Here is a 27,326-nt window from a genome sequence, read left to right as displayed (position 1 = left end):
TTACAGCCAAATTCAATGTATCTAGAGATCAGTGTGCGTGAAAAGGTCTCTGCCCTGGAACTCGTGGTTCGGGTCCGTCTACTACCATGAGGGTGATGTAGAGCACATCCCGCCTCTCTGATTCACCTTTTGCACATGGAGGGAGGCCTCCACATCTGCCCTGCATGGACCTCCCAAGTTCTTCCAGCCCAGACTGCTGGGACATGCAGGACAGGACCCTGCAGGTGAGGCTGGCTCTGGTGGCACAGCTTCCTTAGGGAGTGGGGCAGCCATCCCGGCTGGACTCCAACATGCTGACCAGCCACCACGCGGCACAGGGGGGTGTGGTTCATGGCTCTGCTGGCTTCTACACTGCATATTTTAGAGGCCGCCCTGAAAACTTTTGCAGCAGCCAGCATCCCAACTCCCTCTCTTCCTCTGATCTCAGTGAAAACAAGTTGGCCACATCAAAATGCTTGTGAGGGAGATTTAAGGCTCTGTGTGGGCCTGGCTACTTCCCGGAGGCCCAGCTGCCCGGTTGATTTCCTATGGCTCAATTTGCCACAGACAGCCCAGCTTGCGCCTTCTGTCCCCACAGTTATTAGCACTGCCTCCTTTCACACTCAAGTGTGACTGAATTCGGAAGATAAGTGTATGGTGACCTGCCCATGGGGCAGAGTGGCCTTCCCAGGAACAGGAGTTTGTACCAAGTTCAGGGACACAGACCCACCTCAGGCCAAAATATGAGTAAAAGTTGGGGCCTTTGGGATACAGCCACCTCATTTACAGCCACCCAATCAGAGGCAGTGTTTCACCTCCTTCCTAGTGATGGGTATCTCTCAATTTACTCATCCCCACCTCCTAGACCAGTGGTTCTCAGTGTGGTCCCAGCAGCAGCAACACCTGGAAACCTGTTAGAAATGCACATTCTCAGGCCCCACTGCAGCCCTACTAGACTGGGAACTCAGGGGTGGGGCCCAGCAATGTGGGTTTTCACAAACCTTCTGGGGTGTTCTGATGCTGCTCGATGCTGAGAACCACTGCCCTAGACTGTCCCCAGTGCTAGAGCTGACCCAGAAATTCCCCCAGACCTGTGCCTCCTCCACCTCCTATTAGAGATAGAGAAGCTGAGGGCCATCGGAGGGCACGCTGTGCCCTGAATTCACACAGAGGTGATGCCTGCCCCCAACCTGTACTGCATCCAGCAATCTACTTTCTGGCCCTCAGGAATAAGGTATCAGACTGGTCAGTCTTAGCGAGGCACTTTCTCCTCTGGGCTTCAGTTTCTTCATCTGTACAACTGAGGGATTTGCTTAGATGGCCTTTCAGGTCTGGCATTCTCAAATGCTATGCCAAATGGTATGTCCATAAATCCTCCTCCAGACAACATCCACCTTTCTGTGGGAGCCTTGGTGACAGCAAAGAGAAGGCTCAGGCCATGACCAGAAAAGGGTCTTCTGGTGACCCCTCAACCATCTTAGAATCAGACTCTTAAAATTAAAAGAGATAGCCAGGTGCGTTGGCTCACGCCTATAGATCCAGCTACTCAGGAGGCTGAGGTGGGAAGAGCGCTTGAGCCCAGAAGTCCAAGGAGCCCACGGCTGCAGTGAGCCGTGATTGTGTCACTGCACTCCAGACAGGGTGATAGAGGAAGACCCTGTCTAGAAAAAAAAAAAAAAAGGCTTTAAGGCAGTTTGTCAGCCTCAGGACCACTGACATCTTATGCACTTTGTTGTGGGCTGTCCTGTTCGTTGTAGGATGTTTAGCAGTGTCCCTGGCCTCTACCCACCAGATGCCAGTAGCACTCCCACATGCTTCCCTTGGATTCCCCCTCTTCTCCCAGGGCAGGAATCTCCTGCGCTGCTGGCACCATTTACAGGCATCAGCAGGATCGCTCATTGCCTCAGGAGTTCCACCAGGGCGGCCTTCACCCTGGCCCACCCTGCAAGAACTTTCACCCAATCCAGTTCACAATCAAGGGTGGGGTTAGCCTGCCTTTGCCACTTCCTAAGTATGTGACTTTGTACAAGTTACTCAACCTCTCTGAGCCTCACTTTTCTCATCCATAAAACAGGAACCATGACACCCACCTCACTGGGATGATTGTGTGGCATAGATGGGATGCGCGTGAGGCGCCTGTCCAGTTGGCACTCAACAATGTCAGAATTCAGAGAAAATGGGAATCGTGCTGCTGTTTATTATTTTTTTCTTTTCTTCTGTCTCCAAATTACAATTCCATCTTCAACCCACTGGGGTAGATTTGCCTCAGGAGAGGTTCCATTTGTCTTGTTCAGATTTTCTTTCCCAGTGAGCATAGCTGCCTATTACCATTGGTGCAGGTAATGCTGGAAGGACATTTCCGAGCAGCTTCGGGTGTGGAGGAGAATTGAGTTCTGTGGCTACAACTGGCTCAGCCTAAGGAAACAGGGGAACCCAGACCACAGACTCGGGGCCTCTGGGTCAACCAGGACATGAAGAAAGGCCCTGCCCCTGAGTGGAATGGAGGACCAGGACCTGGACAGACATGAGATGTCATTTTTAGCAGGAGCCACCTCTACTCGGCTCCAGGTGGTTGTGTGGACATAGGGTAAGTGTGGTTCCCAGTCACTCACGAGAAGCTGAAAACCTGGATTTTTAGAAAGTGAAATTCCCAGATTTTTTAAAACAGTGTGTCAATTTGAAGTTTCTGGTAGAGAGAGAGAGAGACCCTAAAATAACTCAGTAACTCAGTATTTACTCAAAACAATTCTATGAAATAGGTACTATGATTATCCCAGTTGAGGAAACAGAGGCACAGAGAGGTTAAATAATATCCCAAAGACAAAAAAGTAGAAGTGGATTGGAGGAAGAGCCCAGCACAGGAGGGGTTAAAGGGGGAACTATAGGCCCTTGTGTTGAATAAGAGGAGACAGAGCCCAATTTTTCTATCATAACAATAAATTGGCCCCAAATTAAGCCAATACCCAGTTCTTATTGCTTCTGCAGAGAATTAATAAACCATGGCATCTTCTGAAAATGGGGAAGCCAGCAGCTCAGAGAGATGTCAGAAAGCTTTTTACGGGGCTGGAGATGTTCTGCCTTAGCAAGTAAAATGGTTGTGATGGTTATGCCACAAACATGCAGAGAGGGGGAAACGGCATGGGCTGCCCTGCCTGTGCCCATTCCTGGCTCAGTTCAGAAGTGTGCCCACCATGAGGAGCAAATATCTGCAGTAGCCGGCTCTCGGGGCGTTAATGGCTGTGGCCTCCCAGAGAACACTCCGGAATATTTTAGGTTTATATTTTGCAGATGGTGTGCCAAGTCATTCCCTCATTCGGCCTATTAGATGGTTAGTTTCCTTTTCCTAGTTAAAGGATTAACTAGAATTATCAGTAATCATGAGCTTCCCCCCGAGGACGGGTCAAAGGAAATTAATGGAAACTGCAGCAATAGAGACATGGGTTAGTTCCACAGAAGGAATTCCTGACTGGGAGAATTAGCCCTGGCACAGGTTCCAAGGGGGTGGAATTAGAACCCATCGTGGAACCTAGGCAGAGCTGGAAACCCCTGCAGGCTCTGGCTCAGAATGGAGGTTACAGGCAAAAAAGCAGAGTTAGGCGGTGAGGTGGGTTAAATACTTCACCATAAAAAGTTCCAGAAACTTGGATCTGAATGGGGGCCTTTGAAATATTTCAGCCTGACCTTTTCATGTACAGATGAGAAAACTGTGATCCAGACCTGGCCAGTGACTTGCTAAGGGTCACACAGCTAAGTAACAGCAAAGGTAGAACGCAGGGCTCCAGTCCCTGCCATGATTCCCCAACTTGGATCTAGTAATGCTCTCTATAGATGAGACGACAGCCTTCTCAGCTTCTCGGTCCATGGGACTATAAAATGGAATGTTGGGCTTGGCACATCACAATGCAATTGTCTATTTACAAGTTTATTCCCAGTCTCCAATGGAGGTGAATGCCCCAAGGATGGGGACCATGACTTCCTCATCTTTGTCACTGGGTACCTTCCACAAGGCCTGACACATAGCAGATCTTCAGTAAGTATAGAGGGATTGGGTGAAGACAACTTTGAAGATCCTGAGACGTAGTTCCTCTGTGTATACAATCCCCGTGATGTGCTTGACAAGATGTCCCTGTACCACAAGATGGTATCATTATTGTAATCAGAGTAGATAAGAAACCTGGGTTCTGGGAGCTGCATCAGATATGGCAAATACTGTTTGCTAAGTCTAGGTGATGGGTATATGGGCATTCGTTAGGCTATTCATTATATTTAAAAGTATTTATTATACTTTTCTGTTAGTTTAAATAGTTTCATAACAAACAGTCAAAAAAATAGCAACCTCAAGTTTAGTCTAAAAATGCTCATGCTCATGATGCTTGATTCTAGAACATAACCACATCATTAGATGTCATTATTTATAACCGTATCATTCAGCAGTTGTCTATTGTTGCTAATAGAATGTTCCAGATTCTTCGGTGGCACAACACTGAAGAAGACTTAGCCAGTGCCCTTAAGAAACTTGAAGAGAAATGAGACTAAAGCTGACATTGCCACAAAACAAGGCAGATGTGGCTGCAGGGGAGATGTGGGGAGAGCTGGGGTGGCTGAGGCTCAGCCGCACTCTGCAGGTTCTTCCACTGACCCTACCCTCTGACCAGCTCAGCCAACATTAACCCACTGCACAAACACGGTCACACCACAGGCACGTTTAGAGGCACCAAAGGCTTGCTAATGACCAGGGTCCCCCAACCTGAGGAGAGCTTGGGGCCCCTTGCCTCTAGCCTTCTTCATTTCCTGCTATGGAATATTTGCACATGTGACCTATAAGGTTTAAGTGAAACAAAAAGGAAAATGAGCCACAAAAGGGCAGCCTGGGGCATGTGTGTATGAAAGGAGACATGCAGGATCATTGCCGTGGGGACTTGTTTTGGGAGAGGGAAGACGGCACATTTATGGACTGCTGATGTGGTTACAAATGCCACTGCCAGCAGCATGGCATCACAAGTCCAGGGCCATGGCTGATGCACATATTTGTAAGCTCCAGGGTACAGCATGAGAGCACAGAAAAGCACCAGATTTGGCATCAGACAGCACCGGATTCAAATCTGAGCTCTACCACTTACTGGCAGTGTTCAGCAAGATGCTTAGCCTCACTTCTCCCATTTGTAAAATGGGGGTTAACAATGAGTATTTCACAAGGCTCATCTATGAATTTAATAAGATTCTATTGCACATAGAGTATGCAGCACAGCCTGGCATGGAGTAGGTGCTCAGTAAATGCTTCCTTACCCACCCATTCTTGCCTCTTTGCAAGGACAACTGGTTGAGGTTATAAATACATGGAAGAGTGTGGGTGCCTGCACAGTTTTTGTTTGTTTTGGCTCAAAATAGACACCCAAACCATCTTCTGTAGGTTTTCACATTGAGTCCTGTGTGCTAACAACCTTCCCTCTGTGGAGGCACAGTCTTGGGCAAATGCTCAAATAGGTCAATTGGTGGTGATACCTCCTGATTTAGTTTGAGTTCCTGCAAAGACTAACCTGGAGCAAGGATTCAAGAATGCATCATTTATTTGGGAGGCAACCCCAGTAAACACTAGCAAGGAAGTGAGACATCGAAGGAAATGAAGCCAATGAAGGAAGTGTCAATATGCAGGTTACCGCTGCGGGCAACTGGTTAACAACTAGGGGCTCAACCTTACAGGGGAATTCTGGGAGACAGTGTAGAACATACCTCAGAATTACCTACCTTATGGGCAAGGAAGCTGGGGTATTTATCCTCCAACTCCCATCTATCAATGGCTGAGGGCTGCTCCTGGTCATGAACTGGGAATTTTCAATCCACTGTGCAGGCATGCTAAGAAAGAACCTTCAGGCCCTCAGTTGTCAGTGCTTTCAGTACAAAGTGGTAAAATGCTCTTAGCACATATTGAAATAAGGACAAGGAGTATTAACAGGTACCAACAGCACCTGCTATATTCCCTTACATGGAATTCCTTCTTAACGCAGTCATTTTAGCTTGGGTTTTGGTGGCTTTGGGTCTCTATTTACATGCATTTCCAGCCTGAGTTTTCTCATAATCTCCTAAAATCTTTCAGCTCCAAATGAGTATGTAGTATGATCTACCAAGACGTGCACAATATGGATTGAGACTGTAAAATCATTTAGAGGAGCATCTTTCTTATATTTCTCTTTTGCTGTGACTTTGGGGTAGTGGCATGCCCTCTCTAGCCTTTTCTTCTTCACCTATAATATCAGGAGGTTTGCTATGATGGCCTCAAGGCTCCCCAGTCTGTGATTTTTATGCTGTCAGCTACCACCCAAAATCCCTGGTGCTGAGTGGAGTGCATGTCAGGTATTCATAAAGGTTCATGAACTAAACAGACACCCACACTGCTCCAAGACAGAGGTTCTTTTACTCCTCCAACTGGTGGAGTAATAGACCCAGGCCTCCTCCAGGAGAGATGGCAGGCACTAGACAACTGGCAGGCAAGATGGTGGCCATCAGAAGCTGAACAGAGGAGCACTGAATTCTGGGAAAGGAAGCTGAGGGCAGAAATACCAAAGTAAATCTGTGTGGAGAGAACCCCCAGACGCCACAAACCCACCCCACTGCCTTTCAATAAGGCCGCACTTAAGTCCTTCAGATGAAAACTCCATAAGCGACTTTTAAAGACCTACAGAGAACTAGGTAACTCTTGACCCTCCCACTGTAAACCACCAAGCAAGCCGTCCTGAAAAGTCAGAGAGAATGGAAACTGTTCTCTAGTTTCAAGCCAAAATATCCCAGTCTCAGCTAAATGGACAGTCCAAGTGACATGGGGCATGGGTTTCACCTAGAACCCTCCAGGAACTGTCTGCTGTCCTCGTTTAGGGCCAGGAGTTGCCCAGAGCCCCAGTCACTTAGTCTCTTTCTTTGGCTCCAGTCTCGCTGGAGATCATGAACAGCTGTTTGCTATTCTGGGAGGAGGAGCCTTTCATATACTTGACGACATTTTAAATCATCTCTTAATGATAGCTGGGAAGACTTCTTGTTACTGCTACCACATGGATAAAAAGCATGGGCCATCCGGTACTAATGTTAAATTCATCTGAGCCCTGGATGTGCAGGCATAGGGTAGAAATTGAACAAGTAGAATGGTCTTGTTTTTAACACTTTGGCTTCAGGCAAGGAGACTGTTAAAAAGCATATATTTCTTTAAAAAACTAAATTACTAGCAGCAGTCTAGTTGTGGGTGATAAAAAGATAGATGACTTTTATTTCTGTGTATTTGGCCATGAATAATTTTTATAACCAGGAAAAAAACCCAGACTAGAGTGCAGCGCCTTGATCATAGCTCAGTGCAGCCTCGAACTCCTGGGCTGACGCAATCCTCCCACCTCAATCTCCTGACTATAGGCATGCACCATCACATCTGGCTTATAGGCATGCACCATCACATCTGGCTAATTTAAAAAAAAATTTTTTTATAGAGGTAGGGTCTCACTATGTTACTTTAGGCTACTATCCAAACTCCTGACCTCAAGTGATCCTCCTGCCTTGGCCTCCCCAAATACTGGGATTACAGGCATGAGCCACTACACCCAGCCTGGGCTGGTTTTTGAGACAGTGGTGAGATACAGTAATAAGAGGGAGGCTGAAGGAGAAAAGTCAAGGAGGAAATGACTGAGATTTCCCTGGCATTGCTTAACAGAGCTGTCCCCAATCTTTTTGGCAGGATGGACTGGTTTCATGGAAGACAATTTTTCCACTGCTGGGGAAGATGAGGGATGGTTTGGGGATGAAGCTCTTCCACCTCAGATCACCAGGCATTAGATTCTCATAAGGAGTGCGCAACCTAGATCCCTCGCACGCGCAGTTCACAATAAGGTTCACGTTCCTATGAGAATCTAATGCCACCGCTGATCTCACAGGACGTGGAGCTCAGGCAGTAATGCACCACCTGCTGTGAGGCCTGGTTCCTGCCATGGTGGGGGTGGGGGTGGGGGGTGGGGTGGTGGGGTTGGGGACCCCTGGCCTAACACATAACAGGCATGCTACCATGATGTGGAGAATGCTGTTACTTGCCCAGTTGGTCTTAAAGAGCTTCACTTTATCTCAAGGAAACAGTAGTTGGCAGATAGACACAACATCTCCTACAAAAACTTCAGAAGGAACAGTGTGTCAGAGCTTTGTTGAATCTTACACCAAGTTAAAAGTATCTTTGGCTTTTGGAGTATGACTGAGGTTGGAAGGGGATGCCTTCACTTACCTGGGATGGAAGGAATTCCCAAACATGAATGCACTCACCAAAAAAGCATAAATGTTGGGGAAGAGTTGATAATAAAATGTTAAGTGAAAAAAGCAAGCCATACAATACTATATATTCTGTGAGCACATGCATGAAAATTCTGTATTTATAGAGATAAGGGCTCAAAAGATCAAAATAGTTGCTGTGTTGAGTTAATGAATTATAGGCAAGTTTTTTCAAAAAGTTCTTAATGTAACTGTGGTCCATTCAGGGTTTTTTAATGCAACATTTTATTATGAAAATTATCAAACCTACAGCAAAATTGAAAGAATTTTACACTGACCACCCATTTACCTGATACATAGACTCTGCCTTTAATGCTGTTCAGTTTTTAAACTATTTTAAAGTGTTTTAAGCTTTTGTTTTCTATATTTGGCATGTACATTAAGTATAAACTATAAAGGCTTAATTACACAATGAACACTTTAAGAATCAGATCATCATCTGTAATACCAGCAATTTGCAAGGCCGAGGCAGGAGAATGATATGCCTCCATGTTTTGTCCACTCTCCTATTGAGGGATATTGGAGGTTCCTGTCTTTTGCTATTTTAAACAATATGCTGTCAGATGTAGGTCTCTTGGTGCAGATGCACAGGAGATTCTCTAGAGCACAGGTTGCTCAGGTTTTTAAAACAAAAATTTTTAATGAGAGGGGAAAGAAAAAGCAACAGCAAAAGGTGGGAGTGTTAACACTTTTCCATTTTGCAAATGGCAGGGTGCAAGAGATTCAGACTCTTTGTGCTCTCCTTCAGCAAGGCACAGGTTGAACTCAGGAAAAGTAAGTCAGAGATTAAATAAATGTCTTCATATAAAGGTGTGAGTTTACAAAGAAGAATCAAATGAGGAACCCAAGCAACTGTTGCTTTCACATAACTTGGAGGTTTCTAAGGCAGTGTTTCTCAATGTCAAGATGTCACGTTTCAAAAGACAACCTGAATTCTCAGATGATTTCAATGCAAGATTAATTTTCACTTGCCTCCATTTTACAAATAAATAAATGCCATACTGTGATCTTGTTCTCTTTTTTACTGGAGGGAGGCATGTCTTGGATTCAAAGAAATAATGACAAGGTATTTCCACTCTTCCTAAGACTGGTAACACCAGTGTACAGCCCTGGAAGGAAAGATATAAAGCAGGAGAAATAAGGCTACTGGGGACAGATTTCGACTTCAGCAAACTAAGGAATAACATTAATTATGTAATTTATCCTACTAGGTTCCTGGTGGGATCCTTCTTGTTAGCTTTGACCACAAGCAAGAAATTGTGGCCTTGATGAAATGTGTTTTATTTTCAATTTATCAGTGGTAATAGAGGGAATCTGGTAACCCATCTCTTGACAGGTTAAGAAAGAAATGGAGAGATAGTCCTGAACAGCTTTGGAGTCGTTGGCTCATGGACAAATTGGATGAAGTGTTGGGAGAAGTCTGGGGGCCAGTCTGCCTTGGTTTTGCGGACAGAAAGAAGAGTGGGATGGATCTTAGTGCTGTCCTTAGAGGGCCAGGACAACAACTGGCCTCTGACCAAGAGCAGAGGAAGAACATCCAGGTGGCTGAGCTCCTCGCCTTGAAAATGTAAAGATGACCAGCTGCTCAGGAGTTAGTGGAAGTCACAATTTGTAATTCAATGATGAAAGAATGAGGCTTTATCAAGTTAAAACAAAAGTGGATGCATTGTTCACTTTTGCTGCTACTAATGGGGCATTTCCAGGTGCCATCCACTGTGCCAGGGCTTGGCATGCTTTGCCTCCTTATTCCTCAGGGCAAGCTGGTAAGGTGGGTGGAGCTACCAGTCAGCTTCTTGGTAGTGACAGAAACCAACTCTGGGTGGTTTCAGCACAAAAGCAATTTACTAAGAGGATATTGGGCATCTCAGAGAATGACAGGGAGTGTTCAGAAAATGAGCAGGAGACAGGGGAAGCCAAGACCTGGTTCTAAATCATAACACCACAACTGCCACTGCCACCACCACTGCCACCACTGCTGCTGCTAAACAAATTCTCCACCATCCTCATGTCTCTGTATCATGTGTCTCAGGTTCAGAGTCCTGGACAGAAGAGTAGGCTTAGTTGAGCCTGGGTTGTGTGCCCATGCCCTGGGCCAGCAAGGCAAATGTCCCCTAACGTAGGGATTATTGTTATGTGAACCCCAAATATCTGAGACAGGTTTCAGTTAATTTAGAAAGTTTATTTTGCCAAGGTTGAGGATGCGCACCCGTGACACAGCCTCAGGCGGTCCTGACAACATGTGTCCAAGGTGGTAGGGGCACAGCTTGGTTTTATACATTTAGGGAGACAGGAGACATCAATCAATATGTGTAAGATGTACATTGGTTCAGTCTGGAAAGGTGGGACAACTCGAGGTGAAGATGGGACTGCTCGAAGCGGGGAGGGGGCTTCCAGGTCAAAGGTAGATAAGAGACAAACAGTTGCATTCTTTTGTCAGCCTCTCCAAATGAGGCAGTCAGTTATGTGTTTATCTCAGTGAGCAGTGAGGTGGCTTTGACTAGAATGGGAGGCAGGTTTGCCCTAAGCAGTTTCCAGCTTGACTTTTCCCTTTAGCTTAGTGATTTGGGGGCCCCAAGGTTGATTATCCTTTCACAGTTATCCCCCTTTACAGATGAGGTCTTCTGACATGTCCTGTCCCTGATGCACCGTGACTGCTGTATCTTCTCACAATTAATATCTGCATTTGGCTAGCTCTAGCAAGGAAAAACTAAAATGCCCCAAAATTAGAATAAAGCAGTGTGTAAACTGTAATAGCTAACATTTTATGGTGCTTCACAGAATGCATTAACCCATTTGTTTCACTTAACCACTACCAAAAATTCTTGCATCAACCCTGGTAGGTGAAGAGGGAGGCATTTTTGTCATCCCAAAACTGAACCCAAGTGAACTCCATGACTTACCTGTAAGTAAAGGCACAATCTAGATATTCTGACCACAGTTTTCATGCTAGACCATGAGATTGTTTAAGTACTTGGCCGATTTTCTCTTGGTATAATGCTTCATTAAATGTTTTTAAAGGTTATGAAAGCGAGACTTCTCAAACTTTAATGTTCACACTAGTCACCTGGGGATCTTTATAAAATGCAAGTTCTAAATCAGTTGATCTGGGGTGGGGCCTGAATCTGCATTTTATTTTATTTTATTTTATTTTATTTGAAACAGAGTCTCACGGGTGCCCAGGCTGGAGTGCAATGGTATGATCATGGTTCACTGCAGCCTTGACCTCCCGGGCTCAAGCAATCCTCCCACCTGAACCTCCTGAGTATCTAGGACTACAGGTGTGCACCACCACGCCTGGCTAATTTTTTTTTCTTTTTGTAGACACAGGGTCTTGCTATGTTGCCCAAGCTGATCTCAAACAACTGGGCTCAAGCAATCCTTCTACCTTGGCCTCCCAAAGTGCTATGATTACAGTTGTGAGCCACCATGCCCAGCCCAAATGTGCATTTCCAACCAGTTCCCAGGAAATGCTGATGCTGCTGTCCAGGAACTACACTTTGAGTAGCAAAAGTTTAGAAGGTTGGTAGTAAGGATTAAGAGCGATCAATGTTTCGTTGTTGTTTTGAGGTGGAATCTCTGTCTCTGTCACCCAGGCTGGAATGCAGTGGCACGATCTCGACTCACTGCAACCTCTGCCTCCCAGGTTCAAGCTATTCTCCTGCCTCAGCCTCCTGAGTAGCTGGGTTTACAGGCATGTGCCACATGCCTGGCTAATCTTTGTATTTTTAGTAGAGACGAAATTTCACCATGTTGGCCAGACTGGTCTTGAATTTCTGACCTCAACTGACCCACCCGCCTCGGCCTCTCAAAATGCTGGGATTAAAGGCGTGAGCCACTGCATCCAGCCAGCAATCAATATTCCTAATCTGTATCACACAACTGCAATATTTTAATAACTTGGTGAAGAATTGTGGAGAATTTTCATTTTTTCCATGCTTCGACCTTTTGCGTTATTTCTTTATCAGGTTTAAAGGACAAGGTTTCAGGGAGAAAGGTGGTGAACAGATGAAGTGGTTTGGGCTCAATTTGGGTTCTGCTCTAGACAGAGGCACACACAGAGGGGGGTACACAGCTTGACGAGCAGACCAGGTTGGAAACAGCACCACTGCTCAGAAATCTGCCAGTCATTCAAACAGGAATTCCACAGATAATACATCTCAGCATGCAGCCCAGGAAATTCAATTCTCTCCTTTCAAAAGTAAGCTCTCCTGAAGTTTATAAACATCCCATATCCCTGCATGGAGAAACACAAAGAAGAAAAGACCTTCACAATGAGAACTTGGAAGCCACACAGCGCTGAGGGCCGCAGCCGAGTTTGCAGCAGCAGCCAAGACGAATCAACAAGGCCACTAGACCCAACTGGCAAGAAACAAGACCCGAGTGCCAGGTCACAGAGAGCCCAGTGGAGTGGAAGGTGAGGGAGCAGATTGGGATAGTTGATGCGAAGATTAAAACAACTGAAAAACCTAAAGAAAACAAAGCAGGGGGTTAATAAAGCAACTGTCTGCCTCCTCATGAAAGTAAACAAAGACAAAGGCGAAAAGAAGCAAAGAGAAACCAGATGCAAGGTTTGCCTTAAACCCCAGCGGTGGTGGCCGAGACGGGCAGAGCAGGGCGTTGGAACAGATGAAAGCTTCGGGAAGAAATTGGGAGTGAGAAGGAGAGTAAATACAGTAACCAGAGGGACATCAAATGGCGGCCGGGGGAGTCGGCGCCTCCGCCTCGAGTTTTGATTAGCAAAGGGGAGTTGGCACTAACCAGCGCTCGACAGACATATTTGGGGACAATTATTAGAAAGCTATTTTTGTGGTTTCTTTTGTCTCTCTGAGCCACAAGCTGAAGCTGCCCATATGTTAATCTGTTTTGGAGTCTGAGAAAACAACACTAATTTCATCAAAACCCTTGAGCTTTTAAAAATGAGAAAACTCCCTTCCAAAGCTTCCACAAGTTGTTTTGGTCCTTTTTGAAAGTATGTATTTCTTTTCAAAAGGGTATTACTCAGCAGTTTGGTTTATTTTTCTCCTCTCTCCAAAGTATGCCTGTGTTTATACATGGAAGTAAGAAAACATGAATGGAAATGTTTAAGCCCCTAAATGGTAGCCTTTAGGGGGCAGGGGTGAGGGGCTTGCCAGTTCTCACCCTTGGGTACAATTTTGTCCATTTCAGAAATGCTACTCCTTCCCCTGCAAAACTTGGCCTCCTCGAAGCTCTCCTTCTCTCCATGTGACCCTCACCCTGCCCTACTTCTTGAAGTGTGAAAGGGTCCTCCCTCTCTCCCTGGGCCTTGGTCTTCCCTCCCACTTACTGCCCCTCTCCCCTGGTTACTGCTAACCAGTGTTTTCATCATACTTCTTGCTGCATATTTAGGAAAGGTAGATTTGTGGGGTCACCCTCCTCATCCAAGCCCTATAAACTACATCAATGTCATTGTTTAATAGCTCCCAGACCCTACGACTGTAGGTCAGTACTGACGGGTATTATTGTCCTAGATACTTCCTCAAATTAAACTTTGGGCTCTTGTCTCAAGATGTCAAGGGAGAACAGGCCACCAGCATTGCCTGTAATGGCGTCATCCATCAGACTTCCCCTCATAAACTTTGATGGGTCCCCATCCAAGCCTCTGCTTATAACATTTGCTATGGCCTGAATGTGTCCCCCAAAATTCATGTGTTGGAAACTTAATCCCTATTGCAACAGTGTTGAGAGATGTTTAGGTCCCAATAGATTAATTCCTTTGTAAAAGAGCTTGACAGAAGGAGCTTGGTCCTCTTTCCTTCTGCCTTCCACCACATAAGGAAACAATGTTCCTCCAAGCTAGAATATGCATTCATAGTGCCATCTTGAAAGGACAGAGCAGCCCTCACCAGATACCAAAACCTTGATCTTGGACTTCCCAGCCTCTAGAACTGTGAGAAATAAACTCTGTTCTTTATAAGTTACCCAGTCTGTGGTATTCTGTTACAGCGGCACAAATGGGGTAAGACAGCATTGCTCTAACCCACCTGTGCTCACCTGCCTCTTATTCAAATCCTATCCATCCTCAAGGTCACCCTTAAGAACCAGCTGTCCCAGCTAGCCATTGTGGCCCAAGCTCCCCAAGACATGGCCCACTGGAGGTAAGTCCCAGGAGACCTTCCGGCTTTTGAAAAATCCAGAGCTCACTTCACGAAAGACCCACAGGTGTACCTGGACACTTTGATCTCAATGCTCCAATATAAAGAGCCTGACGTATATACCCTTGGGCTGCCTGCTACTTGCCTTTGGCCCATCAGGTAGGAGGCAGACTTGGCAGGGAGTCTTTCTGCATGTGACCTACTGATATTTGATCTTTTCATGGCTGATTACTGGGAAATGGGGGAAGAAGTTCTGCAGAATTAGCTTATCTCTGGGAAGACTGTCAGGTATGATTGTGATATGCACTCTTTTTTTTTTTCCTGCAATCACATCAGAGAGTGAAATAGCATGGTCTTTTAAGGCACACATGCAGAAGTGCAGCCGATTCATTTCCATTCTGTCTGTCCAGCACATCCTCCAGGAATTCTCCCATGACTCCAATCCCTATAGATGGCTCCTTTCTATAGATGTCTCCTAGATGTCTGTAGGATAGTCCTATAGATGTCTCCTAGAGCAGGCTTTGGCAAACTATTGTCCACATGCCAAACTTGGCCAAGCATCTGTTTTTCTAAATAAAGTTTTATTGAAACACACCCATGTTTATTGTTGTCTATGACTGCTTTTGTGCTATAACAGGCAAGCTGAGTAGTCACAACAAAGACTATCTGGCCCTTTAATAACAAGAGTTCTCCAACCCTCCCATATTTGTGCTTTGTGTAGTTACCTCACCTCTCCAATAAACATCTGAGAACTCTGAAGAGCCGGGACTGTCTATGTTATGTGTTCTATTGTTCATCTCCCCTTAGCATTTATAATAGTGCTAGTAATGACAAATGCTTATCCATTATTAAATAGCTGTGTCAGGATGCTTCCCCTTTAGGTAACAGAAATCCTTCTCCAGACTTGCTTAAATTATTGTGAAATTTATTGTTTCATAGAACAGGAAGTCCAGAAGTAGGGATCAAAATTGGTAGATTCAGCCACTCAACCCAGGTTCTTTTCATTTCTCTGCTCTGTCAGCTGCAGTGCTGGGTTCATCCTAATGCTGTTTCCCCTCATGGCCCCAACATGGCTGCCAACAGCACCTCGAACCACAGCTTTCGTGTTCACATCCAGCAAGATGGGAGAAGGGCAGGTGGGATGGGCCTCTCTTACTCAGAAGCTCTGAGCAAGCCTCTCTCCTTGATTTTCATTGGCCCAGATTGGCTTATACCTGCCTGGCATTAAGCCAATCTCTGGCAAGAGGGATGGAATTAGCATGACTGCCTTAGGCTGGTTAATCATTTGGGGTGTAATGGTATACCTCCCAGTATACTATGTTTTAAAATATTTCAAAACAAAAGTCAGATTATAATCACTGGAAATGTGGTGTACTTTGTACATCACCTGTTCTTCATGGCATTGAAACTGTTGTGAACATTCCCTTAGTGCTATGGTCCCAAACATACACAGGCTCTGCCCTCCCCAATTATACCTAAAATGACCCAAAACATATTCTCCATATATTATACATTTATATTCCAAACCAAAAATATCTGATTCTAATATATTCCAGAGCTTTTAATTTACTAAACCAGAGCTTTTTCCTAATACTTTCATTTCTAGACTTAACAGGACTCTTCTCCCCCATACCCCCAACTAATTGGAATTCTAAAGGGCCGGACAGTATTGAAGATCATGAAAAAATATCTGATACATCTACAAATGCGATGCCTACTTTAATACACTGCTAACTAGCTCAGACTTTCCTGGGAGAGGAGGGGAGGGGAAGGGAGGGGATCCTCCCAGAAAAGAAAAAGGGTAACCCCAGTATCACTTTGTCCCATTGCATAACAACATGAAGAAACACAGGGAGATGGCTTTAATTAAACTGCTGTCATGAATTCAGATTTGTGCCAAGAAAGTTGTGGCCAATTGTGAAAGCTCTATCCATACAAAGGATGGCAAGGCCTGGACCATGCATTCTGCTAAAGGAACAAGGACCCACAAATAGCAAGCCTGAGATGAGGAAATGGCAGCCCTTGCCAGAATGTGTTACACAAGGTGCTAAAAATCTACCCAGAGGCAGCCATCACCTGTCTCACCATCTTCAGGGGACCAGGGGCCACCCTGGCACAGGCCCAGGCTAAGCCGTGCTGAAGAGAAGGAGCTTGTATTTCCTGCATGTGCAGGAGGAGGGGAGAAAGGCTGTGCTGGTGTACACAGTAACATGTCAGTGGCAGCACCGAGGTGAATTATAGGTTGGAGACCTGACAGTGGTCTTCTCACAGGGAAAGGGCACAAGCCTCCTCTGAGAATCATCCCCCTCTCCCAGAAAAGCAATATGTCTGCCATCCCCATTGAGGCCCACTCCGGGGAGGGTGAAGAGTGCTATTAAATTATGTCACTTTGATATAAGGGCCTCTGTCTAAAAATTCAGTGTTGAATCATGGCATGCTTGACTTGAACAATATTGAGGTGAGCAGCCCACTTCCCCTGGGTAGGTCGGTCCAGGTCTGGACTCCTGTGCAATGATGACATTGTTGCTGACATAAATAATAAGTGTGATTTATTTGTTCAAGCCCCGTTTCCCAGTCAGGAGTGGTTTATGGGGCTGACTACCTGAAATTGCAAAGTGGAAAGTTTATGGGGCTGATTTATGAGGAAAGTGAAGGGCTACCTTTCTACACAGAAGACAACTAAATGCCTCCTAAGGCAAGGTCTCATTCCTCTCAGGCTGGTTTTCACCTCCCAGAGCCTGCCCTGCCTGTGAAGACAGGGAGTCACTGTGGAATCTTATTGGTGCCCCGTGCTCACCATGATTCCCTATTGTGGTTGCCAGTAGCTCAACTTGGGACGTCCCCACCACTGCCACATCACATATCGTACACCTGCCACCATTGTGCTGTCACCCCCGTTACAACCCTTGTCACCATCAGCATTGTCCTAGCCTTCACCATAACCTGCCACCTCCGTTATCATCCTTACTGTCAGCCCCTGTCAGCAATGAGATGGAGTAACAAAAACACAGATTTATTGAAGACAATTCACAGAGTGGGAGCGGGCTCAATAGCCTCTTCAATCAGGGTTTTTATTAAGCTAAAAAGAATCCAGCAACACCCTTTGGCGCTCCTCAAAGCCCTCCAACTGGCCACACCCCATGAAGGATTGTCCTGTGACCAATCAGAGGCTGACGTGACTTGTTATCATGGAAGCAAGGATGTGGCCTATGTGCTGCACCTGCTGCTCTCCTGCCTATACAAACTGGCTGCACCTGCTGTTCCCTTGCTCACGCCTCAACCCCTGATCACCTCAATTCCCTGTTCTCCTACCTCAGTACCATTCCTCCACCATCAAAACCTCCACCAGCTACTTTACTGCAGCCTTCACAACTCTCTGAGTCATTTTGGAGGGTAGTAAATTGTATTAGTCTGTTTTCATACTGCTATCATGAACTGACCAAGACTGGGTAATTTATAAAGGAAAGAGGTTCAATTGACTCACAGTTCAGCACGGCTGGGGAGGCCTCAGGAGACTTACAATCATGGGGGAAGGCGAAGAGGAAGCAAGATACCTTCTTCACGAGGCAGCAGGAAGGAGAAGTGCTGCGCAAAGTGGTAAAGAGCCCTTTATAAAACCATCAGATCTCGTGAGAACTCACTCCCTATCGTGAGAACAGCATGGGGCAAACTGTTTCCATGATTCAATTACCTCCACCTGGTCTCTCCCTTGACACATGGGGATTATGGGGATTATAATTCAAGATGAGATTTGGGTGGGGACACAAAGCCTAACCATATTGTAAATCATCTGGCCTTCTCCAGCATGGCTGAGCTGAGAATGGAGGGGACTCATGTGCTCAGAAGCAGCCACACGTGTTTCAGCCTCATTTCTGAATGAATCCACCAACCTTCACAACACTACCCACCCACTCACCATTCCTGGAATCCCGGGGATGAAAATCTTATGTTTTTTATTGCATTTGTGTCCACAGAGGCTCCAGGACACAAGGGTGCACACTCCTAGTGGGTCTCCCATGTTGCTAAGGTCTTATTAGTCCTGGGCCTACAGACCTCCCTAAGTGGTACATTCCTGACTTTTTAGGCACCATCTCTTTGCTGCCAGCCCAGGTCATTAACTCTCTAAAGCCTAATAATGTCACGGATATACCGAAGGCCTGTCTGCTTTCTAAGAAGAAAGGGAGCTCTTTCTTCTTGGGGATTACTAAAGTTAAAAGAAGCTACCCACCCTCATTACCAATGTTCTCATCACCAGTGTCACCGCCACAATCATGACCTCATCTTACCATCATCACCATCAACTCTGACATCATTCTGCATTCAGCAAGAAAGGTTAAGTATGAAGTTGCACAGGGTACTAGGTACCGCCTAGAAAACTTCAGAACCCTAGTTTCTTTTTTTTTTTTTATTTTAAGATGGAGTCTCGCTCTGTCGCCCAGGCTGGAGTGCAGTGGTATCTCAGCTCACTGCAACTTCCACCTCCCAGGTTTAAGCAATTCTCCTGCCTCAGCCTCCCGAGTAGCTGGGACTACAGGCATGTGCCAAAATGCCAGGCTAATTTTTTTATATTTTTAGTAGAGACGAGGTTTCACCATGTTAGCCAGGATGGTCTCGATCTCCTGACCTCGTGATCCGCCCGCCTCGGCCTCCCAAAGTGCTGGGATTACAGGCGTGAGCCACCGTGCCTGGCCAGAAACCTAGTTTCTAGAAGAATGGTCTCCAAAGATTAATCTCCAGAAAATAATCCCAGGAGATACGCCATATTTAAGAGAAAAAAAATTCCATTGCCAGTTGAATTTTAGAAAGGCTGCATTCTGACAATACCTTTTAGCATATTAAAGGCTCTGAGAAGTCCTGCAGGAGAGAAATCTGTTTATGGCCATTTGACACAATCTTTCTCAGGTATAATTTACCACTAAGTCATGTTTCCACCTAACTTCCATTAACATCACAATGAACACATGTCCCATAGAAGATACGTTGAGAAGGTAGCTCTAAAAGCTGAAAACTGCACAGGCAACAGTACCACGGATCAAGGCGTGCTCATGGGCCACCAGTATGGATGCTCTTCAGGTGTGTATCCTAGCACTCAATCACAAAACCTATCCTTTCATCCTAGTCCAAAGTGGTCATTCTCTCCTAGGCCCTGGAAGATGGGAGTCTTCATCATCTCTGCCTCCCCAGTGCTCACTGAGCGCCCTCTGAGTGTCTTATGGATACAAGCATTATTCATGCTGCCCTCAATATGGCCAATTTCCCCTTCACAAATCTGTGGACATCCCACAGCTCTGGATATGCGTTTTCCGGGGTGAGAAGTAACTAAGAAATGCTTCACTGATACCTGAGCCCTCACACGGCTTTCCACCTACAGATCCCCCTGCCTCGGATGAGAGAGGGGCCCAAGGAATTTCACAGTCCAACCCCCATGGACACGAAGGCCCAGAAAGGGCAAGAACCCACGAGGACCACAGTGGCTGATGCCCTCCCCCATTTCCTTCAGCTACAGCAGTGTGGGAATGGGGGCTGGTCTGAGATGGCATTTTCATTGGTCCAAGTTGAGTGGAGAGAAATAGGTCCCCAGAGTAGATTTTTCATAAAGTGAAATGCTTTCAACTTGAAGGGTGTCCTGAAATTGTCATCGCTACCTTGGGAGTTAGAATATCCTTAAATAAGGGTGAAATTGATGACAAGTGTATTAGCTTCCTGTGGCTGCGATAACGAAGTACCCCAAACTGGCTTAAAACAACCAACATTTATTGTCTCACAGTTTGGGAAACCAGAAGTCCAAGATCAGGGTGTGGGTAGGGCCATCCTCCTGCTAATCCTTCCTGTCTCTTCCTAGTTTCTGATGGGGGCAAGAAATTTTTGGCATTCTTTGGCTTACAGCTGCAGCATGCCAGCCTCTGCCTCCGTCTTCACACGGCCTTCTCCCCGGTGTCTATGTCTTCACCTCATCTTTCCTCTGTGCCCAAATGTTCCCTTTTCACAAGGACACCAGTCATATTGGATCAGGGGGTCCACTCTGCTCCAGCATGGCCTCATCTTAACCAATTACATCCACAACAACCCTATTTCCAAGGAAGGTCACATTCACAGGCACCAGGATTTAAGACTTCAACATATCTTTTTAGGGGGATATAATTCAACCCATAACAGTGGGGGGTTTTTTCCTAATGTTTTTACCAGGCAGCTCTTAGGCCGAATCAAGATGTGCATTTGCTTTTTCTTTATTTTTGTTGTTGTTTTACAGGTGCATGAAATCCCACCACTGGGAAGCTGCCGGAGGGAGCACTGTCCCCTGCACCCACTCTCCCGCCTCCTCACCCCCAAGTAGGCTGGTCCCCCAGGCCTCACCCTGAGGACTCCTAGGATGTTTGAGGACTAATTTCAGCCTCACTCTGTCCTCCCCAGGGACCCAAAGGGTGGCATTAGCAGCTTTACCTTCACCATGGCAGGTAGAGAAGCTAAGTGGCCCTCCTCCTACATCCCTAGCAGGGCCTCTCCCTGACTCATCCCAATCCCAGGAGGTTTAGATTCAGGCAGGGCTGACCTCAGCATTTCTTCTGCAGTGGCCCCTGCAGGCGGGGGCACATCCCTAGGACTGGCTTGGACTTTCTGGCTCCAGTTACAAAGCCTAGAGGACAGAGCGATGATTGAGGTCTTCTCGGCACGGGGATGAAGAGCACTCTCTGGCCCACTGTGTGCATGCTCAGGGCTCCTCTGGACTGACAGCTGCCTGGCACATAGTAGATGCTCCGGAAAAGCTTGTGGAGGTGAGCAGAATGAAACTGGATTTCATAGTCCCAGTACCATTTCATTTATTTGGCTGCACTGCTCCCGTCAAACCAGGTCCCTCTGCCCACTTTCCCTTGTCCAGCCTCTGTCAATTCCAACTTCCATCCCTTTGCTGAGGCTGTACCTGCTATCTAGAGTACTTTTTCCTTTCCTCCATGCAGGCAAATCACAGGCACATTGCAAAGATGAATGTAGTGCCTACCTCCTCCGTGCCTCTGGAGTTACAAAGCTTTTTCCTAGGCACCTGGGGTTAACACATTGTCCTTTACTACCTGTTATCTGCTTATTAGAACCAATTTTCTCCCCCCAGTTGCACAACAAACACTGATGAACAACCCTAGAAACAAATGTTATACATCACTACATGCTCCTTATTCCTCCCCGAGGTCCATGGTTCTGTTTCACAGAAAAAGCATGAGGTTTGACTTCAGGCAGGCCTGGGTTCAAATCCAGACTCTGCTATTTACTAGCTGTGTGGCCACAGGCAGTGCCATACTCTCTATGAGCCTCATCAGTAAAATAAGGATAGGAAGACCACTTCGTATATTGTAGACACAAAGATGCACTTCCTAGATTCCCCTTCCAGGACCCATTACAGCCCCCAGTTCTGGGGCTGCAGTCAGCAGACAGCCCCCAGGTGTTGGCTCCTTCAGGATCTGGCTCAGCAACAGAGCTGTACCACTCCTAAGGCCACTTCCTTCCCAGGACAACCTGCATCCAGCTACAAAGCCAGATGGGGATATATAGGCCCAAGCCATTCCAGCCCAATACCGGACACTGATGGGCAATTCTTGCTCTACACTCCTCTCAGGGATGATCAAAGCTTTGTAGAGCTTGTGTCACAGTTCAATGTCTTCTCTGCATATCCTGCTTCCTCCCCCATCCCCACTCCTGCCCTAGTGTTAACCTCTAATAAACATCTCTGCTCCAAACTCCATCTCAGCATCTGCTTCTGACAAACCAATGTGTTGCAGAAAATGTAAGAATTGTAATTTATGATCTCAAGGCACCCAGCAACATGCTTGGCACATAGTAGGTGCTGAGAGACCTCACTTCCCTCCTTGCCCCAGTGAGGAATAAATGGAAGGCTCTGTGAAGGCAGTTTGAGTCGAATCTCTCCAAAAGGGTAGGAGAGTCCCAAGAATTCCTATGTGCCAAATTCCTGGAGAGGCTGAGCAGGAAGGACTCAAAGACACCCAGGCCCCTGTGATTAAAGACACATAAGTGGATTCAGATGACCAGGGAATATTGAAACTCACCCCCGCAAGTGGTGGTAGTCAGGGGTGAGTGGAAATCTATACATGGAGTGAACGTTTTCCAGCTCCTCCAGGCACTGCTGCCCTGCAGCCTCCTGCTGTCTGCCCAGGAGTGGAAGACTGCTCAGCTTTGAGGAGTTTTTTCTATAAAAATAACCCCCCACTATTATTCTTTGCAGTGTGAAGTGAAAACTTACCTGGATGAGGTTTCACAGGAAGCGTAAGTTGCTAGAGACAGCGAGAGGAGCTCCTGCACTGAGAGCAAGAAATGAAGCAAGTTCTTGGGATGTAGAACTAAAGGGAAGTAAGCAACAATTTTTTAAGTGTGGGTCTGACCTCAGAGTCCTAGTACCAATGTCTCCTCGGCATGAGAAACTGAGGTTTGGCCACAAGTCCCCCCTTTGCCTGCCTCCTAGGAGCCCTCATCTGCCTTCACACCAACTCTCCAACCTAAACAACCTGAAGGGTGGTTTCTATCAAGGCCATAATGGAGTACCAGCGACCCAGGGAGAAAGCACAGCAAATGTCAATACAGTCTTCAGAGCCAGGCAGCTCCCATCCAGCCTCAGCTCTGCCACTTTGTGGCTGTGTGACCTTAGGCAAGTTACTTAACATCTCAGAGCCTCAGCTAGCTATTACTATCTTCATTATCATGTTATTCTTGCCATGAAGAGTTAAGATTCCTGAGCAAAAGGATGAGCATGCCTTGAAACAAAAGCAAATCGTGTGCTCTGCCCTACTGGAGTACTAACTAGCACAGGCGGCTGGAGCAGTCGAGGTGAATTTCACTCAGGAGGTGGCATTCAAGTGACAGCTTGAGGGACAAACTTTGGATGGGTATGGGAAAGAGAGAGAAAGCAGAAGGCGTAAAATCTATGGAAGAAATCACAAAGATAGAAATGGGCATGGGAAGCTTGTGGGACAGAGACTGGGAGAAACAGATGGACATAGCCTCTGCTTTCCAGCCCTGAGGATTCAAAGGTGAGTGATACACAGTCCAGAAGAGAGAGGAGAACAGTCAAGGCAAATCAGGAACCAGCCCGGGAAACAGAGACCCACAGAGGACATTGAGGCAAGTGCATGACTAAGCCTCCCATGACAGCCAGGTGGGCAGGGAAGGAGGAGGAAACGGATGGCTGTGGAGGCCTTGAGACTTGCCCAGGTAGGCCGGGTCCAGAACTCCCACCCCAGGGCTCCTCTGGTGTGCGGGGGGCAGGTCAATCTGGGGGCTCCCCCTGACCCAGGCTGCTCCTGTCGGCACCCTGTACTCTATGGCTGCCCCACAAAGACCCAGGCCTCTCGAGGAGGCAGCCCTGACCAACCCACACTGCCATGGCTCTCACTGTGGTTTTCAGGAGCAAATGCATTCCACATGGCAGCCAGCCCCGGCTTTCCCTGGCAGGGATGAAGACGCTGTGAAAGGACCCTTTGCCTCCCTGCTGAGTCCCCCAAGAACAAGGCTTCTTTGTCTACAGCTGCTTCCCTGCAGAGTGAAACCTCTGATGAAGGCCGAGCCCCAAGCCTCAGGACCACCACTCCAGCCTTCTGTGAGCTGGCACCACTATTGGTGCCCACAAGCAACCCCCTTCTCTCCTTCCCCATATCACTCCCAGAATCCAGGAAGCGGTCCCTGGGATCCAAGCACCAGCCAAAGAGCCCCAGAAAGGAAAATAACCTTGAAATTGCAGAGTTGGGAGCCAAAATAGAGGCAAGCAAAATGTGGGTACCCCAAAGGTGTAGTGGGGAGGGGCCAGCTCTACACTGGGCAGGCCCCTAAAAAGGAGCTGGGGTCCAGGGGTATGTGGGAGCAGCTCAGTGGCTTCACAAGGCAGGTTCATGGCACACATTGCAGAGCTGCAGGGCACCTGAGCAGACCATATGTGGGTCTACAGACCCCCTTCTGAGCCCCATGCTAGAGACAGCCATATGAGCGTGTCATCACAGCCTCTGTCCTAGTGATGATGGCCGGCAGGCCCAATAACCACCACTTTACACCATCAATGCTTTAATACAAGCACGTACAAAGCCCAGGAAAGATGAGCCCAGGATGAGATGAGCCCAGGAGAGAGCAGCTATACTCCTGGGGGTACTGGGACCCCTTCTGTGGCCATGCACCACCCAGATCCCCCTTCAAGGAAAGACTTGCTTCTGCAGCTGCGGGCAGTGTTAGCAGCAGACAATCCCAGCTGTTGGCCCCTCAGCCATTGACTCAGCTGTAGACAGCAATCTCCCTCAAGGCCATGTCCTTTCCCGGCCAGCCCACATCCAGTGATTAAGCAAGACTGGGGGACTTGGAAGAGCCACCTGGGTCAAAAGCAGGTCCACTGTAAATGGGCCATGCTAGCTCCAGAGCTCCCCGTGGGGCCAGGGCTGCCACTGGCCTGCCCTGCAGCTTGGCTTCTCTCTCTGCCCATGCCTGCTCCCTCTCCCCTTCCCCAGGCACCCAGCATCCTTAGCACACAAACTCCCTCTCAGAGTCTGCTTCCCAGGGAAGCCAACCTGCAACAACTTTCCACAAAGAGGTGGCAGTGTTTTCCATTGCGTGTGGGGTCCAAGGTAGAAAGCACATCCTCTGACGCCACTCCTGCATCGGCAGCTGAACAAGAAGTGGCCCCAGGTCCACAGAGCCGAGTCCAGTGGGTGACCAGTGTATAAAGGGCAATAGGACCTTTTTCTACATTGGGCTTTTTCTAAAAGCACTTTTCTATTGTTAATCTGTCTTTTGTTACGGGGTCTCAGCCATGAACCTTGCAATGGGTAAGGAAAATACACTGCTTTTCTCCCCTACAACAGCAGTGGGGTGGGGTTGGGGTTGGGGCCGTATTTCAATATTTCAGAGTTATATTGATTGGCAGATTTTAGAAACAAGAAGCCTGGTTGGGAGCTCTGGCCTTGCCTCTTTGAATCATTCTGCAAACTTTGACATCTCGTAAGCTCTTCAATTCTACATTCTCTCCTTCCTCAGTAAATGCCTTCCTTGCAGCACTGTGGTGAGAAGCACTCAATCATATAGGCAAAAGTCCCTGGAACTCAGGAAATGCTCAATGCCTTTATTTCTTTACTCTCCATATAATGGGTCTTTGTCAATCAAGGCTACCAATGAAGAAACTGAGTCCCCTGTAAAGCAAAGATGAGTTTGTTTGACAATGTACACACTGAGTAGCCAACCTCCTTGCCTGACCGTACCTATCATGCCCCGTTCCACCCATCTGGACCCCAGCCCACTCTCACACCCTGGGGCAGGGGCCAGCATCTGGAGGGCTCCACAATGCATTCCGTTCTGTAGGAGAATAGTCAGCCTCCAGGAGATCCCTTCCTGACTTGGTCTGTAGCCCAAAAGGGTGCAAAGATGGGAAGAGGCATGGGCTTGGGTATTCAGATCTCCGAGAAAGCTGAACCGGAGCCAGGGCAGAGAGGGGCCAAGACAAGCCGGGACTGGGCGGGAGGCGGGTGGGGGTGGGGGGTGGAGGAGGGCAGCTGCCTGCCACCACCTATCACCACATCTGGGAGTCAGGGAACATGAGGCCCCAGAATGGGAGAGAACAAGGGAGGAAATTAGAGACAAAACGTGAACTTCATAAAGATTTTATTCAATCAAACTCCAAAAACAGCTGCAACCCCATAATGGCAGCCAAGGCTGGCTTTCTGATTTTTCACTTTGATTAATTATCTAATGACTTGCAGGGCTCCCTGCTGCTTTATGACTTGCACGTTTTTCTGTTTCTTTTTCCCTCCACCCCCACCCTCCTGCTCTGTTCTGATCCTCATCCTCTAGAGCCTGCCTCCCCACAAAACCAGCTTTACCCCACCTCCTCTTTGTCGAGGGAAGGCTCAGTTACTGATGGGAATCTTCTGGACCCCATCTGCCCTGGTTGAACAGGTGCCTTCAGGGAGTGTAAAGAATTAGGGAACTGCCCTGTCCCTCAGAAGCTCTTGGTCAAGGTGGGACAGACCCTTTTTTCATTCACACACCAGGTACAGAAGATGCATGTCTCCATGGCCAGCCATGTAGCGAGGGCTCTAGCAGAGGCAAGTGTAATGCATCCTAGGGGGATGAAGGGGCATCTCCAGCTCTGAGCAGAGCAGCTGAGGATGGCTTCTCAGAAGAGCTACTGACCATGCTGGGTGTTGTGGGATGTGCTTGCCCAGGGGAGGGGAAGACAGGATGAAGTTGTTCCAGGAAGACAGAGAAGCTCACAGCAGGGAACAAAGAAATAAGATTGCACATTGGGGGGCAAGGCAGATGGTAACAGATGGGCATGCGGCTAGTGGGGACCCAGTACTAATGACCATGCCAGTGGTCAGAGAAAAAATGAGAGCAAATGATTCTTAGCTGGTTTTCCCTTGCAAGAAAACCCGAAGCAGGCCCTGAACTGATAATGGAGTCTGGGTCTAATTTGAGATGTGGCAGGCAAAAGATTTGGGTCTTGATCCTATGGATAATGGGATTAAGATATTGACTTGGGCTGAATTCTCCTCGGGACAGACCCTGAGACAAGGATTTTGAGATGGGTGACCACCGCAGTGTGTGTTTGTGAACAGGTTACCACTGAGGGCACCTGGGACCTCTGAGAGCCTGCGGAGGGCATGCCTCACAGTTGCCCCACACCGGTGAGAAAGCCGGGGTATGTATGCGCCATGGCATCCCTGAAGGAATGCTCCCCAGAGTGGACCCCCTGGGGCTTCCAGCCAAGTCCTCGGGCAGCCAGTCACAGTTGCTGCAGCAGGACCCCACCAGTGTGCACGGGAATGGAGGCAGCCAGGGCCTATGGCCAGGCACCAGCAGTGTCCCCTACAGATATGGCCAAGTGGAAATTTAGCTCTCATTTCCCACCATAATGAGATATCCAGGCGGTCTGGTGAGCTATATAGTGAGAGGATAAAAATGCCG

General features: G+C 47.4%; 1 long non-coding RNA gene across 1 annotated transcript, besides 1 other annotated feature; it reads left to right on the top strand.

The window, feature by feature from the left end:
* Nucleotides 1–3,557: 3,557 nt before the first annotated feature.
* LOC105375075 (uncharacterized) lies at nt 3,558–9,278 on the top strand. The gene is made up of 2 exons (NR_134609.1): nt 3,558–4,009; nt 8,983–9,278. It is a non-coding gene; the product is annotated as an uncharacterized LOC105375075 (long non-coding RNA).
* Nucleotides 12,157–12,787: an enhancer, noted in NCBI's record as "OCT4-NANOG-H3K27ac-H3K4me1 hESC enhancer chr6:44510389-44511019 (GRCh37/hg19 assembly coordinates)". NCBI's record gives its function as "activates a minimal SCP1, AML or CMV promoter by ChIP-STARR-seq in primed H9 embryonic stem cells {active_cell/tissue: H9 hESC(primed)}" and the evidence as "EXISTENCE:reporter gene assay evidence [ECO:0000049][PMID:30033119]".

Source organism: Homo sapiens, chromosome 6, assembly GCF_000001405.40.
Source record: "Homo sapiens chromosome 6, GRCh38.p14 Primary Assembly".
In the NCBI taxonomy this organism is placed as follows: Eukaryota; Metazoa; Chordata; class Mammalia; order Primates; family Hominidae; genus Homo; species Homo sapiens.
The sequence above is the reverse complement of the archived record's forward strand: the minus strand, read 5'-3'. Positions and strand labels throughout refer to the sequence as shown.